The sequence below is a fragment of the Homo sapiens genome, chromosome X (genome assembly GCF_000001405.40).
Source record: "Homo sapiens chromosome X, GRCh38.p14 Primary Assembly".
In the NCBI taxonomy this organism is placed as follows: domain Eukaryota; kingdom Metazoa; phylum Chordata; class Mammalia; order Primates; family Hominidae; genus Homo; species Homo sapiens.
This window is the reverse complement of record NC_000023.11, coordinates 154,698,846-154,713,088: the sequence shown is the minus strand read 5'-3', so window position 1 is coordinate 154,713,088 and position 14,243 is coordinate 154,698,846. Positions and strand designations below refer to the sequence as shown.

Genomic DNA, 14,243 nt, shown 5'->3' with positions numbered 1-14,243 from the left:
CCATTTAGTGGTAGCATTTTCTAGTGGGTGTGTCTGCTGTCACCTCTCTTCCTGCCAATGTCAAGGCAGGAACAGATTGCTATGAACCACTGTGAAAGATGAAGCATGTAGTATACTAAACAGAATGAGTCATGCTTTTCAGCATTGTGGTTTTCACTTCTAGCCTTGCATTTTCATGTGTATCTGATGCTTAGAGGATGAAAAAATCAACAAACCATTTTTCTTTTGCCACACCAAGGGGTTGGTGTAACTGAGTGTTGTAGAGGGAATGTGGCTATGCAAGTAGCAAGCAAGGTGGTACTGGGGAGATGGGAATGAGGCCAGCGTTGGTTTTGTGGTGGGTGGATGGCTGCATTTTAGTCCAACTTACATGCTTTTCTTCCCCAGTCTACCCACCAGATGTGATAGCTGGTCAAACTCAGACCGTTCATTGGAACAGGCTTCATTTGATGATGTTTTTGTTGACTGCCTGCAGCCGCTCCCCTCCAGTCATTTGGTCCACCCCTCATGCCATGGCAGTGGAGCTCAGGAGGTGCCATCCTCGAGGCCTCAGGCTGCCCTGATCTGGAGTAGAGAAATCAATGGGCCACCCAGGGACCACTTGTCTTCTTCACCATTGCTGGAAAGTTCCTTAAGTTCCACCATTCAGGTAGATAAAAATCAAGGTTCCTTACCCTGTGGAGCAAAAGAACTAGACATTATGTCCAACACTCCACCTCCCCGCCCCCCTAAGCCAAGCCATCTGTCTGAACGGCGCCAAGAGGAGTGGAGTACACACAGTGGTAGCAAGAAGCCAGAATGCACTCTGGTTCCAAGAAGAATCTCCCTCTCTGGTTTAGACAACATGAGAACCTGGAAAGGTAAGTGTTGGGTCCTAAGATTCAGGCGCCAAGAAAACCCGGGCTCCTCTTCACTCTTTGTGCCCATGTGAGGTCATGCCAATGGACCAAAACGATGGGGCTGGGTTAGAATTACCTTGATGTGTGCAGCTTGGTAAAAAGCCACATCAGTAGTGTGTACTTGTGTACATATGTGCTTGTCCCTTGTTCAGGCTGGCCTGATCTTCTAATGGGGCTGGATCCTTGGTGGAAGCATATACCCTGAAAGCAGCACTCTTCTGTTCCTGGATCCCCCCAACCCCTCCTTTGAGCCTGACCACCAGGAGAGACATTTAGGTCCCCATAGATGCTGCAATAGGTTGGAACCCTGGTCCCTTGTGATGGGCTTGCCCATGCAAGTCCTTGCCCATGTGGTAAGCTTCCCACCTGAGTCTGAGCTCCTAGTGTTTTTTGGAGTCACTCAGGGACCCACTTGGTACAAAAGTTGATGTCTTTTGTCTTAACTCAGTCCCATTCCCTTCTTTGCCTCTCTCTCACATACATAGAGAGTCCTGAGACCACAGACCATCACTGCCTTCTATTTTTTAGCAATCCCATCAACCTCATTCATCATCCCACTAGACTTGTTCTTTCCAAATTCTAAGTGGCTGTACAAAGGGCCCTCCCACAGCCCTCTTTTGCCCTTTTCTATAAGGCCATTTATCCTCACGAGGTTATCTTGCAATTCTGCTTGCAGTTCCATCTTCCTCCACCTGTTTCTTTCCACCTGGGCCTCTCTGGCCTTCAGAAGCTGTTTGGTGAAAGCCAATTCAAGCCCATTCATTGTGGTTTTTCAGTAACCTCTTCTTTACTGCTTTGCTGAGCCACCTCATCTTTCTGCCATGAGCCAACCAACCTTAGCATTTTGCTCTTCTTTCTTACATCAGTCTGTATCTCTCAGATACACAGACAGACACAAAAACTAGTTGTCTATCTCTGTGTCTTTCTCCTTTTTTCTTTCTTCTCTCTCTTTCTTTCTCTCTCCATTGAAATATAATCACCCACACATCACTACTTATTTAGGCCATGTTTTCAAGGAATTATGGAAAGTGGAAGGAGTGCAAATTTATTTTCAAATTGTACGAATCTCTCATTCTGACTGAGAATTAAGTCACTAGTAAAAACCTTCCCTAATGTCCCTAATGATGTTACCATTATGTATGTTGCTTCCTTTTGACAGTCCTTATGAAATAGATGTATACTGATTACACAAATGATCTGGATATGCTAACATGTGTGAACAGTTGACAAAAAGGGAAAAATGAAAGTGGTTAAGCAGATTTTAGGAAGTGAAATGAATAAAACCAGTAGAATAATAACATATGAAAATGAATTAAAAGTCTTAAATTGAAGAACAAAAACTTGAAATAATTTGAAATTTCAACACAAACATAAAACAATTAGGTTGTGTTCTTTTACATGAAGGCAAACAAAGATTAAAACTAAGTAAAATAGAGGTTTTGACCATGAAACAAAGACCAAACAACAGTGGTGCCTAGAAGCAAAATGGCTCTGATAAAGCTGAGGGAATGCATAAAGTTTATTGTTCTGCCTTTCCCACTGAGATTTGCCTGGAATCTGTGTTGGTACGTGGTGGCAGAGTGAGGTCAAGGTTCGTTTTTGTCCATCTGGATCTCCATCCGATGACCCTGCAAGGCTGTCCTGTCCCCATGGCTCTCCAGCGCCCCCTCTGCCATAGATGAAGTGCCCATGTATGTGAGGGTCTGAGTTTCCTTTCTGCTTTCTATCCCTTGGAGCCTACTTGTCCAGCTTGCACCAGTGCCACACTCTCTTAATTACTGTACCATTCTGTCTTAATATCCAGTAGGACAAGTCCTCCTGCCTTTGGGAATATAATGGCTATTCTAGGGTCAATTTTACAGTCAGCTGGTCAGGTTCTAGACACACATATATAAATATATTGGGGATTTGAGGAGGATTGCATCCGATCTGTAGATCGGTTTGTGAAGATTTGACTACAATGTTGAATTTTCCAATCCATGAATAGGAAATATGCTTCCATTTCTGTAGGTCTTATTTTTGTATTTTAAAATATTTAATTGACAAATAAAGATTGCACATATTCAAGGTGTGAATGCATATGCATCAGAACATGATGATTTGATATGCATATGCATTATGTACTGATTATTACAATCAAACTAATTAACACATCCATGGCCACCCATGCTGTACATTGGATCCCCCAGACTTGTTCACTTATCACTGAAAGTTTGTACCTTTTGACCAACATATTCTCATTTACCTGCATTCCCCAGTCCCTGACAACCACCATTTTACTATTGCCATGAGTTTGACTTTTTTAGATTCCACATATAAGTGAAATCGTGCAGTATTTTTTTTTCTGTGCCCAGCTCATTTCACTGAACATAATCTCATCCTGGTTTACCCATGTTGTCACAAATGACAGGATACCATTCCTTTTTAAGGCTGAGTAATATTCCATTCTGAATATATACCACATTTTTTATATCCATTATATCCTTTATCCATTCATCCAGTGATGGACACAAATTGACTACATGTTGTATTAGTCCATTCTCAGTATGAGAATGGACTAAAGAACTATTTGAGGCTGGGTGCGGTGGCTCAGACTGTAATCCCAGCACTTTGGGAGGCGGGGGCGGGCAGATCACAAGGTTAGAGGTTCAAGACCAGCCTGGCCAATATGGTGGAACCCTGTCTCTACTAAAAATACAAAAATTACCCAGTGTGGTGGCGGGTGCCTGTGGTCCCAGCTACTCGGGAGGCTGAGGCAGGAGAATCGCTTGAACCTGGGAGGCAGAGTTTGCAGTGAGCCAAGATCACACCACTGCACTCCAGTCTGGGCGACAGAGCAAGACTTCGTCTCAAAAAAAAAAAAAAAACTGCCGGAGACTGGGTAATTTGGGTAATTTATAAAGCAAAGAGATTTAATTGACTCACTCACAGTTCCACAGGCTGTACAGGAAGCATGGCTAGGGAGGCCTCAGGAAACTTACAATCATGGAAGAAGACAAAGAGGAAGGAAGCATGTCTTACATGGCTGGAGCAGGAGGAAGAGAGTGAAGGGGGAGGTGCTACACACTTTTAAACAACCAGATCTCGTGAGAGCTCTATCACAAGACAGCACTAGGGGGATGGTGCTGAACCATTAGAAACCACCCCCATGATCCAATCACCTCCCACCAGGCCCTACTTCCAACATTGGGAATTACAATTCAACATGAGATTTGTGGGGGACACAGGGCCAAACCATATCACATGTTGTGGCTATTGTGAATAGTGCTGCAACAAACACAGGAGGGCAAGTATCTCTTTGACATACTGATTTCATTTCTTTTGGATATGTATCCAGAAGAGAGATTGCTGGATCATAAGGTAGTTATATTTTTAGTTTCTGAGGAACCTCCATACTGTTTTCCATAATGGCTATACCAATTTACATTCCCACCAACAGTGTACAAGGGTTCTCTTCTCTACATGCTCTCCAACACTTGTATTTCTTGTCTTTTTTGATATTAGCCATCCTCACAGGTGTGGGCCGATACCTTGTGTGGTTCTGATTTGCATTTCCATGATGGTTAGTGATGTCGAGCATTTTTTCATATACCTGTTGGCCATTTGAGAAATGTCTATTCGGATCTTTGCCCATTTTAAAATTGGGTCATTTAGTTTTTTTGCTACTCAGTTATGTGAGTTCCTTATATATTTTTACTGTTAACCCCTTTTATATGATTTGCAAATATTTTCTCTCATTCTCTAGGTTGCCTTTTCATTTTGTTGATTGTTTCCTTTGCTGAGCAGACACTTGTTAGTTTGATGTAGCTCCGCTTGTTTATTTTTGCTATTTTTGCCTGTGCATTTGGAATCATATCCAAAATATCATTGTCAATCAATACCAATGTCAATGAGCTTTCCCCCTATATTTTCTTCTAGGGGCTAAATGGTTTTAGATTTTAGATTGAAGTCTATAATCCATTTCAAGTTAATTTTTTGTATATGGTATAAGAAAAGGGCCCAAGTTCATTCTTTTGCGTGTGGATATCCAGTTTTCCCAACACAATTTATTGAAGAGACTCTCCTTTCTCCATTGTGTATTCTTTGCTCTCTTGTCAAAGCATAGTTGACCATGTACATGTGGGTGTATTTCTGGCCTCTCTATTCTGTTCTTTTGGTTTATGTATCTGTTTTTATGCCAGTACAACGTAGATTTTATTTAATTTGTGTATATAATGTTTTATAGTTTTTAGTGTAGAAATTTTACATATCTCTTATTAATACATTTCCGTGTATTTGCTATTTTTTATGTTATTGTCAACTGTTTTTTGCTGTTGTATGAAAACTTAAATTGAGTTTTGGATTTTGATTTTATATCCAGCTTTTTAAAACTATGGATTATTTTGTCTTTTCTTTGCATATAATTATATTGCCTGCAAATAATAATAGCTTTGTTTTTTCTTTAACAACCCTTGTATTTTTCATTACTTTTTCTTATGTCACTGCATGGGATAAGAAGTCCAGGACGTTACTGAATAGTCCTGGTGACAATACGGATCCTTGTATCATTCCTGATCTCAGATAGAAAGCTTCTAATATTTCACCGTTACAATGTGGTTTGCTGTGGAATATTGTAGATATCATTCATTAGATTAAAGTCATTCACATATTTTCTACTTTGCTAACTGTTATTTTCTAAAGTCATGAATAGATGTATTTCTTTTATTTTTAACTGACAAATAATTGTATACATTTATGGGATACAATATGATGTTTTGATATACATCTATATCATGGAATGATTAAAATCAAGCTAATTAACAAACATTACCTAATATAATTATCATTTTTTGTGGTTGAAGCACTTTATAATCATATTATTTTTATCATGTTAATGTCAAGAAATTCACTGGATAATTTTTTTAGTGCTAAACTAACCTTGGCATTTCTGGAATAAACCCAACTTTATCATGATACCTATCCTTTTTATAAATTACTAGATTTGTTTTGCTCATATTTTGTTTAGAACTTCAAAAAAAATCTGTGTTCATGAGGGAGATTGTCCTGTAACTTTCTTTTATCATGACGTCTTTGGTTTTGGTAAAAATGTTATGCTGACGTCATAAAATATGGATTTATTTCTGGGTTCTCTATTCTGTTCCATTGGTCTATGTGTCTGTTTTCATACCAATATCATCATGCTGTTTGGGTTATTGTAATTTTGTATATTTTGAATTGACGTAGTTTGATGCCTCCAGCTTTGTTCTTTCTAATTTTTTTTTTTTTTTTCAGAAACAAGGTCTCATTCTGTCACCCAGGCTTCAGTGCAGTGGTGTGATCATAGATCACTACAGCCTCAAACTTCTGGGCTTAAATAATCCTCCCACCTCAGTCCCCCAAGCTGCTGGGACTACAGGCTCACGCCACCACACTTGACTAATTTGAAAAAAAATTTTTTTTTTTAGAGGCAGGGTCTTGCTATGTTGCCCAGGCTGATCTCAACCTCCTGACCTCAAGCGATCCTCCCACCTCAGCTTCCCAACGTACTGGGATTACAGGCATAAGCCACTATGTCCAGCCCAGATTTGTTCTTTTTGCTCAGTATTGCTTTGGATGTTCAAGGTCTTTTGTGGTTCCATATACATTTTAAGATTGTTTTTTCTATTTCTGTGAAGAACGTAATTGATATACTGATATTTTGATAGAGAGTGCATTAAATCTGTAGATAACTTTGGATAGCATGTTCATTTTAACAATGTTAATTCTTCTGATCCATGAGCATTTTTTTTTTTTTTGAGATGGAGTCTTGCACTATCGCCCAGGCTGGAGTGCAGTGGTGCGATCTTGGCTCACTGCAACCTCTGCCTTCCAGGTTCAAGCGATTCTCCTGCCTCAGCCTCCCGAGTAGCTGGGATTACACGCATGCCCCACCATGCCCAGCTAATTTTTGTATTATTAGTAGAGATGGGGTTTCACCATATTGATCAGGCTGGTCTCGAACTCCCAACCTAAGGTGATCTGCCTGCCTCGGCCTCCCAAAGTGCCAGGATTACAGGTGCGAGCCACTGTGCCCGGCCAGATCCAGAAGAATATTAATTCTTCTTTCCATTTGTTTGTGTCCTCTTCAATTCTTTTTATCAGTGTTTTGTAGTTTAGTTTTCATTGTACAGGTCTTTCACCTCTTTCATTAAATTTATCCCTGGGAAATTTTTTGTAGCTATTGTAAATGGGATTGCTTTCTTCCTTTCTTTTTCAGCTAGCTCATTGTTTGATGTATAGAAATGCTACAGATTTTTGTATGTTGATTTTGTATCCTGCAAACTTACTAAATTCATTTATCAGTTCTAAGAGTTTTTTGGTAGCATCTTTAAATTTTCCTGTATTTAATATTATGTCATGTGCAAATAGAGAGAATTTGTCTTCCTCTTTTCCAATTTGGATATCTTTATTTCTTTCTTTTGCCTGATTGCTCTGGCCAGGACTTCCAGTAATATGTTGAATAAAAGTGGTGAAAGTGGGCATTCTTTTCTTCTTCTAGTTCTTGGAGGAAAGGCTTTCAGCATTTCCCCATTCTCTATGATGTTGTCTGTGGGTTTGTCATATATAGCCTTTATTATTTTGAGGTATGTTCCTTATATGCCTAGTTTGTTGATAGTTTTTTTAATCATGAAGGGATGTTGAATTTTATCAAATGCTTTTTATGCATCTATTGAGATGATCATATGGTTTTTATCCTTGATTCTGTTGATGTGATGTGTCTCATTCTTGCATCTCTGAGATTAATCCCACTTGATCATGGTGTATTATCTTTATGATGTATTGTTTGACTCAGGTTGCTAGTATTTTTTAATTTTTTAATTTTTTAAACTTTTATTTTAGGTTTTGGGTACATGTGCAGGTTTGTTACATAGGGAAATGCATGTCACTGGGTTTGTTGTACAGATTATTTCATAACCTAGGTACTAAACCTGGTATTTTGTTGAAGATTTTGCATCTATGTTCATCAGAGATACTGGCCTGTAGTTTTCTTTTTTTTCTTGTGTCCTTGTCTGGTTTTGGTATCAGGGTGATGCTGGTCTCGTAGAATGAGAGGGAATTCCCTCTTCATTTTGTGGGGGATAGTTTGAGAAGCATTGGTGTCACCTCTTCTTCATTTTGTGGGGGATAGTTTGAGAAGCATTGGTGTCACCTCTTCTTCAAATGTTTGGTAGAATTCAGCAGTAAAGCCATCAAGTTTCTGGGCTTTACTTTGTTGGAAGACCTTTTTTTATTATTGATTCAATCTCATTACTCATTATTGGTTTGTTCAGGTTTTCTAGTTCTTTCTGATTCAATCTTGGTAGGTTTTACGTGTCCAGGAATTTATCCTTTTCCTCTGGGTTTTCAAATTTGTTAATGTATAATTGTTCAAAACAATCTCTAATAACCGTTTGTATTTCTTTGGTAACTATTGTAATGCCTCCTTTTTCAGTTCTAATTTTATTTATCTGAGCATTCTTCGCTTTTTCTTACTCTAGTTACTGACTAAGTGACTAAACCACTTAGTCTAGTGGTTTATTGATTTTGTTTATCTTTTTGAAGAACGAACTTTTTCTGTAGTTCTGATGTGATCTTTATTATTTATTTCCTTATACTATTTTTCAGTTTGGTTTGCTCTTGCTTTTATAGTTTCTTATTTCTTTTTAATTTTTGTGGGTACATGGTAGGCGTATATATTTACAGGGTACATGAGATGTTTTGATACAGGCATACAATGTGAAATAATCACATCATGCATTTGTTCTTCATGTTACAAACAATCCAATTACACTCTTTTTGTTATTTAAAAATGTACAATTAAGTTATTATTGACTATAGTCACCCTGTTGTGTGGTCAAATATTAGGTCTTATTCTGTCTAATGAATTTGTGTATCTATTAACCATCCCCACTTCCCCCACAGCCCCCCACCCTGGCTACCTTTCCCAGCCTCTGGCAACCATTCTTCCACTCTTTATGCCCATAAGTTCAATTGTTTTGATTTTTAGATTCCACAAATAAGTGAGGACATGTGACATTTGTCTTTCTGTACCTGGCTTCTTTCACTTAACCTCCTTAATGACCTCCAGTTCAATCCGTGTTGTTGCAAATGATGGGATCTCATTCTTTTTTATGGCTGAAGAGTACTCTATCGTATATATGTACCACATTTTCTTTATCTATTTATCTGTCGATGGGCACTTTGGTTGCTTCCAAATCTTGGCTACTGCGAATACTGCTGCAGCAAACATAGGAGTGCAGGTATCTCTTTGATACACTGATTTCCTTCCTTTGGGGTATATACCCAGCAGTGGGATTGCTGGATCTATGGTAGCTCGATTTTTAGTTTTCTGAGGAACCTCCAAACTTCTCCATAGTGGTTGTACTAATTTACATTCCTGCCAACAGTGTACAAAGGTTCCCTTTTCTCCACATCCTCACAAGCATTTGTTATTGCCTGTCTTTTGGATATAAGCCATATTAACTGGGGTGAGATGATAATCTCATTGCAGTTTTTAAATATATTTTTTATTTTAACTTTTGTTTTAAGTTCAGGGGTACATGTGTAGGTTTATTAAATAGGTAAACTTGTGTCATAGGGGTTTGTTGACTATTTCATCACCCAGGTATTAAGCCTCGTATCCATTGGTTATTTTTTCTGATCCTTTCCCTCTTACCATTCTCTGCCCTCCAATAGGCCCCAGTGTCTATTGCTCCCCTCTATGTGTCCATGTGTTCTCATCATTTAGCTCTGACTTTTATAAGTGAGAGCATGTGGTATTGGGTTTTCTGTTATTGCGTTAGTTTGCTAAGAACAGTGGCCTCCAGCTCTGTATATGTTCCTGCAAAGGACATGATCTCATTATTTTTTATGGCTGCATAGTATGCCATGGTGTATATGGACCACATTTTCTTTATCCAATCTGTCATCGATGGGCATTTAGGTTGATTCCATGTCTTTGCTATTGTGAATAGTGCTGAAATGAACATATGCGTGCATGTGTCTTTATGTTAGAATGATTTATATTCCTTTGAGTATATATCCAGTGATGGGACTGCTGGGTTGAGTGGTATTTCTGTTTTTAGGTCTTTGAGGAATCACCACACTGTTTTCCACAATGGTTGAACTAATTTACATTCCCAAAAACAGTTTATAAGCATTCCCTTTTCTCTGCAACCTCACCAGCATCTGTTATTTTTTGACTTTTTAATAATAACCATTCTGACTGGTGTGGGATGGCATGTTATTGTGGTTTTGATTTACATTTCTTTAGTGATCAATGATGTTGAGCTTTTTTGTATCCTTGTTGGCTGCATGTATGTCTCTTTTGAGACAGTTTTGATTTGCATTTCTCTGATGATCAGTAACATTGAGCACCTTTTCATATGCCTGTTTGTCATATGTTTGTCTTCTTTTGAGAAATGTGTATTCAAATCTTTGTTCCATCTTTTAATCAGATTATTAGACTTTTTTCCTATAGAGTTGTTTGAGCTTCTTAAATATTCTGTTTATTAATCCCTTGTCAGATGGGTAGTTTGCAAATATTTTCTCCCATTCTGTGGGTTGTCTCTTCACTCTGTTGATTGTATTCTTTGCTGTGCAGAAGTTTTTCAAGTTCATGTGATCCCATTTGTCCATTTTTGCTTTGGTTGTCTGTACTTTTGGTGTACTGCTGAAGAATTTTTTTGTCCAGGCAAATGTCTTCGAGATTTTCCCTAATGTTTTCTTGTAGTAGTTTTATAGTTTGATGCCTTAGCGTTTTTTCCCTAATGTTTTCTTGTAGTAGTTTTATAGTTCGATGTCTTAGATTTAAGTGTTTAATCCATTTAGATTTGATTTTTGTATATGGTGAGAGATAGGGGTCTTAGTTTAATTATTCTGTGTATGGATATCCAGTTTTCCCAACACCATTTATTTATGTGCCTATCTTTTTCCCAGTGTATGTTCTTGGCACCTTTGTCAAAAATGAGTTCACTGTAGGTGTGTGGATTTGTTTCTGAGTTCCCTATTCTGTTCCATTGGTCTATGTGTCTGTTTTTATGCCAGCACCATGCTGTTTGGTTACCATAGCTCTGTAGTATAATTTGAAGTCAGGTAATGTGATTCTTCCAGTTTTGTTCTTTTTGCTTAGGATAGCTTTGGCTATTCTGGGTCTTTCATGGTTCCATACAAATTTTAGGATTTTTTTTCTATTTCTGTGAAGACTTTAATAGGTATTTTGGTAGGGATTGCATTGAATCTGTAGATTGCTTTGGGTAGTATGGACATTTAAATAATGTTGATTCTTCCAGTACATGAACATGGAATATTTTTCTATTTTTTGGTGTACTCTTCAATTTCCCTCAATATTGTCTCATAGTTTTCATTATAGAGGTCTTTCACTTCTTTGGTTAAGTTAATTCCTAGGTATTTAAGTTTTTGTGTGGCTATTGTATATGGGATTACTTTTTAATTTCTTTTACAGATTGTTCACTGTTGGCATATAGAAATGCTACTGATTTTTCTATGTTGATTTTGTGGCCTGCAACTTTACTGAATTTGTGTATTAGTTCTAATAGTTTTCTTGTGTAGTGTTTAGGTTTTTCCCAATATAAGGCAGAGGAGCCTCACTCCATAGCTATCACCACCCCAGGCCATGGGGAGTACTGTCTGCCCATGTTCCCTTAAGGCCCAAGGGCATTTCAGGAAGCTTGCAATGAATGCTGTCATATAAGAGAAAAAGTGCCTTCCTTTACTCTGATCCCATCTGCATTCTATCTGTCACAAATCTCTTAAATTATCTGGCACATGGATTATACCTATGTCTTTGATTCAGAGTTTTCTCTATATTTATGTTATTTGATGGCTTTAAAAGGGTCTGGTAGTGGAAAGGGAGTTAAGGGCTTGTGCTCACACATGCAAGTCCCACAATGAGAAATTATTCCATAATAGTTTCTAAGAATTATTAAGTACTTTCTGTGTTCTAGGCAGTGTTCTATGTCCTTTCCAGAAGTCCTATGAAATAGGTTATATTATTGGCTTCACTTTACAAATAGGAAACTGAGACATAGAGAGGGTAAGTAACTTGTCTAGTGCCATACAGCTAATACATGGTGGTGTAGGGATTTATAACTAGACAGTCTGACTTCAGAGTAGTTTTTAACCAGTACTTGTACATCTTTAAACATATGTAAGCATAGATATATACATATATACATACACATATATGTATATATAATATATATGCTTAATTCCATCAGTCTCTGTCACATCTTTTCCGAGCTGGGAGTTGTCCTTGCATTTTAAGATGTTGTCGAATTTTAAGTTTATTTCTTAGAGGCCTCCTGACTTTTCACACCTCCAAGCTCTTGAGGGCTGAGGGCTGAGGGCCACTTTGCTCTGGCCACCACATGCTGGGAGCACTTGCTGAACTTCTCTGCACCACTCAACACTGTTGGCCATTCTTTCCTTCCTGAGGCTTTCATGGCACCATACCCCCAAGTTTCCTCATTAATCTATGGTTGCTCTTTCTCAAGATACTTCACTGACTTATCTCTTAGTTCTTTGAGTCTTAGGATTCTCTAGAGTTTTGTATTTTTCTCAACACTTGCAACCTAGATAGTTTCATCTACTCTTATGGTCTAAATTATTCTAAATTTTAATATCACACTGTTTCTTGCATCCATCTGATGAGTTTCTAATCCTGGATAACTCCAAATGTCCTTTCTCTCCATGCGTCTACCTGAGTAGCTTTTCTGGTCACAGACCTCAATTGGGCCCTTAATGCTGCTCCACAAGGCAATCGTTTCTCTGTTCACCCTGTTCTCCTGCTCGTTACAAGGAATATTTCAAACCTCTCTCCTCTCCTCAAACCTCCAGTTCTGCCTCCAGTTCAGAAGATTTATGTAATAAATGCAATAAGAATTTGTTAATTACTTGCTATGTCTCCTCCTATTTCACAGAGAGAACTCAAACCATTGGCTAGAAACTTCTTCAAAATCTGGTCTGATTTTTCATCTGTTGGGGAAATGTGTTCTGACTGCCCAGCTAGACTCTAATAGCAACTGTTGTGTTATGCTTCTCTGCCTCTCTGGACTCTAGTTTCAGTTGATATTGTTCTGCATTTCTCACCACCTTGGCTTATTTCTTGCAGCTGATGTAGAAGGCCAATCCTTAAGACACCGAGACAAGCGGCTTAGTTTGAATTTGGTAAGTTCAACATTCAGGTTCTTTTAAGCATCAATTTTACCAAAAACAGCTTGATCTATGTATATTCCCTTGAAATCTTTAAGATTCAGCACTCTGAGTCTCTGAGGAATCTTCCAGTCTCCCCTGAAGACTTGAACTTGCTTGGGAACTACAGGACTTGGTGTTCTATAAGGGCCTTATTGGTTCTAATGGTTCAGACACTTGCTCAACTTGGTATAGCTACTTAAGGCATCACTTTATGCTTAAAGCATTTGCATAAACTCATAACCCTCTGTCTTCCAGTGTCAGATCTTGGAGACTTATCGCCTATACTAAAACGATAAGTCCAGAGGCAGAACTTGAGCTAGAGGCTTGTCTGACTTTGCTGAGGAAGTTCAGAGTTATACTTGGATAATTTGGAACTGAAACCATATGTACAGCTTTGGCCGCCCTCTGATAGCAGTTTCCATGACTGGTCTGTGGTTCCCAATCTGTATCTATTCTTTTGCAGCCATGCAGGTTCTCCCCGATGTACCCCACAGCTTCAGCCAGTATCGAAGACAGCTATGTGCCCATGAGCCCCCAGGCTGGTGCCTCTGGTCTTGGACCCCACTGCAGCCCTGATGACTACATTCCAATGAACTCAGGAAGCATCTCAAGCCCGTTGCCTGAGCTGCCTGCAAACCTGGAACCTCCCCCAGTGAATAGAGATCTCAAGCCTCAGAGGAAATGTAAGCACTTGACCAGGCCTGCTGTACAGGGGTAGGGGAGCAAGGTTCCGGTGGTTGCATAGAAAAGGTTTCTGTAAAGGAAGACCTAGAGAAACCACCCCAGAGGGCCGGAAAGTGTAAGGTCAGGAAAGAAGTGGCTGGGTTGGAATAGGAAGGGCTGGGGCACCTTGCTGCCCCAGATTGTCATGATAATAGGAGTCAGGAGACTTACAGGCACTGTGGCCTTGCAAATACAGCTGACAAAGCCAAGTTCATTCCAGAGGGCTCGTCTTTGGCTGTTTCCCTAACAAAGGCCCAGGAATAAGTGATGGTGGATTAGAATGGAATCCCACCTGGCATCTCCTCATTAGACAGCACTTGAATGTAATCATAGTGCCAGCCTCTGTAAGGCAGTCAGGAATAGCCTTTGACACCAATTCCTGAAGGTCAGACCCAGTCACATGCAGTT

The 14,243-nt window shown here is 39.0% G+C and overlaps 1 protein-coding gene across 13 annotated transcripts in view; it reads left to right on the top strand.

The window, feature by feature from the left end:
• Positions 1-14,243, top strand: part of GAB3 (GRB2 associated binding protein 3) — a 76,318-nt gene that overhangs the window by 38,478 nt on the left and 23,597 nt on the right. For 12 of the 13 annotated variants that reach the window (XR_938505.2, XM_047441835.1, XM_047441834.1 and 9 more), the window contains exons 4-6: positions 388-860; positions 13,030-13,085; positions 13,576-13,795. Coding sequence is in view for 11 of the 13 variants with exons in the window: in XM_047441835.1 (XP_047297791.1) it covers positions 388-860; positions 13,030-13,085; positions 13,576-13,795 (749 nt within the window). In the remaining 2 variants the exon portion in view is untranslated. The remainder of the gene's footprint in view (positions 1-387; positions 861-13,029; positions 13,086-13,575; positions 13,796-14,243) is intronic. The other variant, NR_104114.2, reaches the window with a different exon arrangement.